Below are 1,438 nucleotides of genomic sequence, written 5' to 3'. Positions count from 1 at the left end.
GTGTCTCCATATGTTAACAACCAAATACCTAAAAAGGAAATTAAGAAACAATCCAATTTATAATAGCATCAAAAAATGAAATGCTCAGGAATGAACTTAACTGAGGAGAAAAAATTTATACACTGAAAACTACAAAACATTGCTGGAAGAAATTGAAGAAGAAATAAATAGCAAGACATCTATGTTCATGGATAGGAAGACTTAATATTGTCAAAATGTCCCCATTACCCAAAGCAATCTACAGATTTGATTCAATCCCTATCAAAATCCCATTGGCATTTTTTGCAGAAATAGGAAAAACAATCTCAAAATTCATGATTGCTGAGCATGGTGGCTCACACTCTTGTTCACATGGTGGCTTCAAACCACTCTGAAACCACAAAGGACTCTGAATAGCCAAAACAGGCTTAAGGAAAAAGAACAAAGCTGGAAGCATTTCACTTTCTAATTTCAAAACATATTACAAAGTTACAGTAATTAAAAGAGTGTGGAACTGAAACTGTCACACGGAAAGCCATGGAAACTAATGGAAGAGATTAGAGAGCCCAGAAATAAGTTCATCTATGGCTAGGCATGGTGGCTCACACCTGTAATCCCAGCACTTTGGGAGGCCAAGGTGGGAAGATCACCTGAGGTCAGGAGTTCAAGACCAGCCTGACCAATATGGTGAAACCCTGTCTCTACTAAAAATACAAATATTAGTTGGGTGTGGTAGTGGGTGCCTGTAGTCCTAGCTACTCAGGAAGCTGAGACAGGAGAATTGCTTGAACCTGGGAGGCAGAGGTTGCAGTGAGCCAAGATCGTGCCATTGCACTCCAGACTGGGCAACAGAGTAAGACTCTGTCTCAAAAAAGAAAAAAAAATTCACACACATATGGCCAATAGATCTTTGACAAGAGTACCAAGAATACACAATAAAGAAAAGATAGTCTCTTCAACAAATGGTGTTGGAAAAACTGGATATTCACATGCAAAAGAATACATTGGACCCTTATTTTATACCATATGCAAAAATCAACTCAAAATGGCTTAAAGACTAAACATAAGACCTGAAACTATAACATTCCTAGAAGAATTCATAAGGAAAGAGCTTCTTTAGATTGGCCTTGGCAAGCATTTCTTAAATATGACATCAAAAGCACAGGCAACAAAAGCAAAAATAGTTAAGTGGAATTACACCAAATAAAAGAGCTTTGCATAGCAAAGGAAACAACAGAGTGAAAAGCAACCTACAGATAGGGATAAATATTTAAAAAGCATACATCTGATAAGGGGTTAGTATCTAAAGTGAGTGTGTGTGTGTGTGTGTGTGTCTGTGTGTGTGTGTGTGTATATATATATATATTGCTATTGAGTTGTAGGAGTTCCTACAAAATACATTCTCCAGTATATTTTGTAGGAACTGCTACAACTCAATAGCAAAAACAGCAAATAACTC

The sequence above is a fragment of the Homo sapiens genome, chromosome 4, assembly GCF_000001405.40.
Source record: "Homo sapiens chromosome 4, GRCh38.p14 Primary Assembly".
NCBI classification, from domain to species: Eukaryota; Metazoa; Chordata; class Mammalia; order Primates; family Hominidae; genus Homo; species Homo sapiens.
This window is presented reverse-complemented; position numbering follows the sequence as displayed.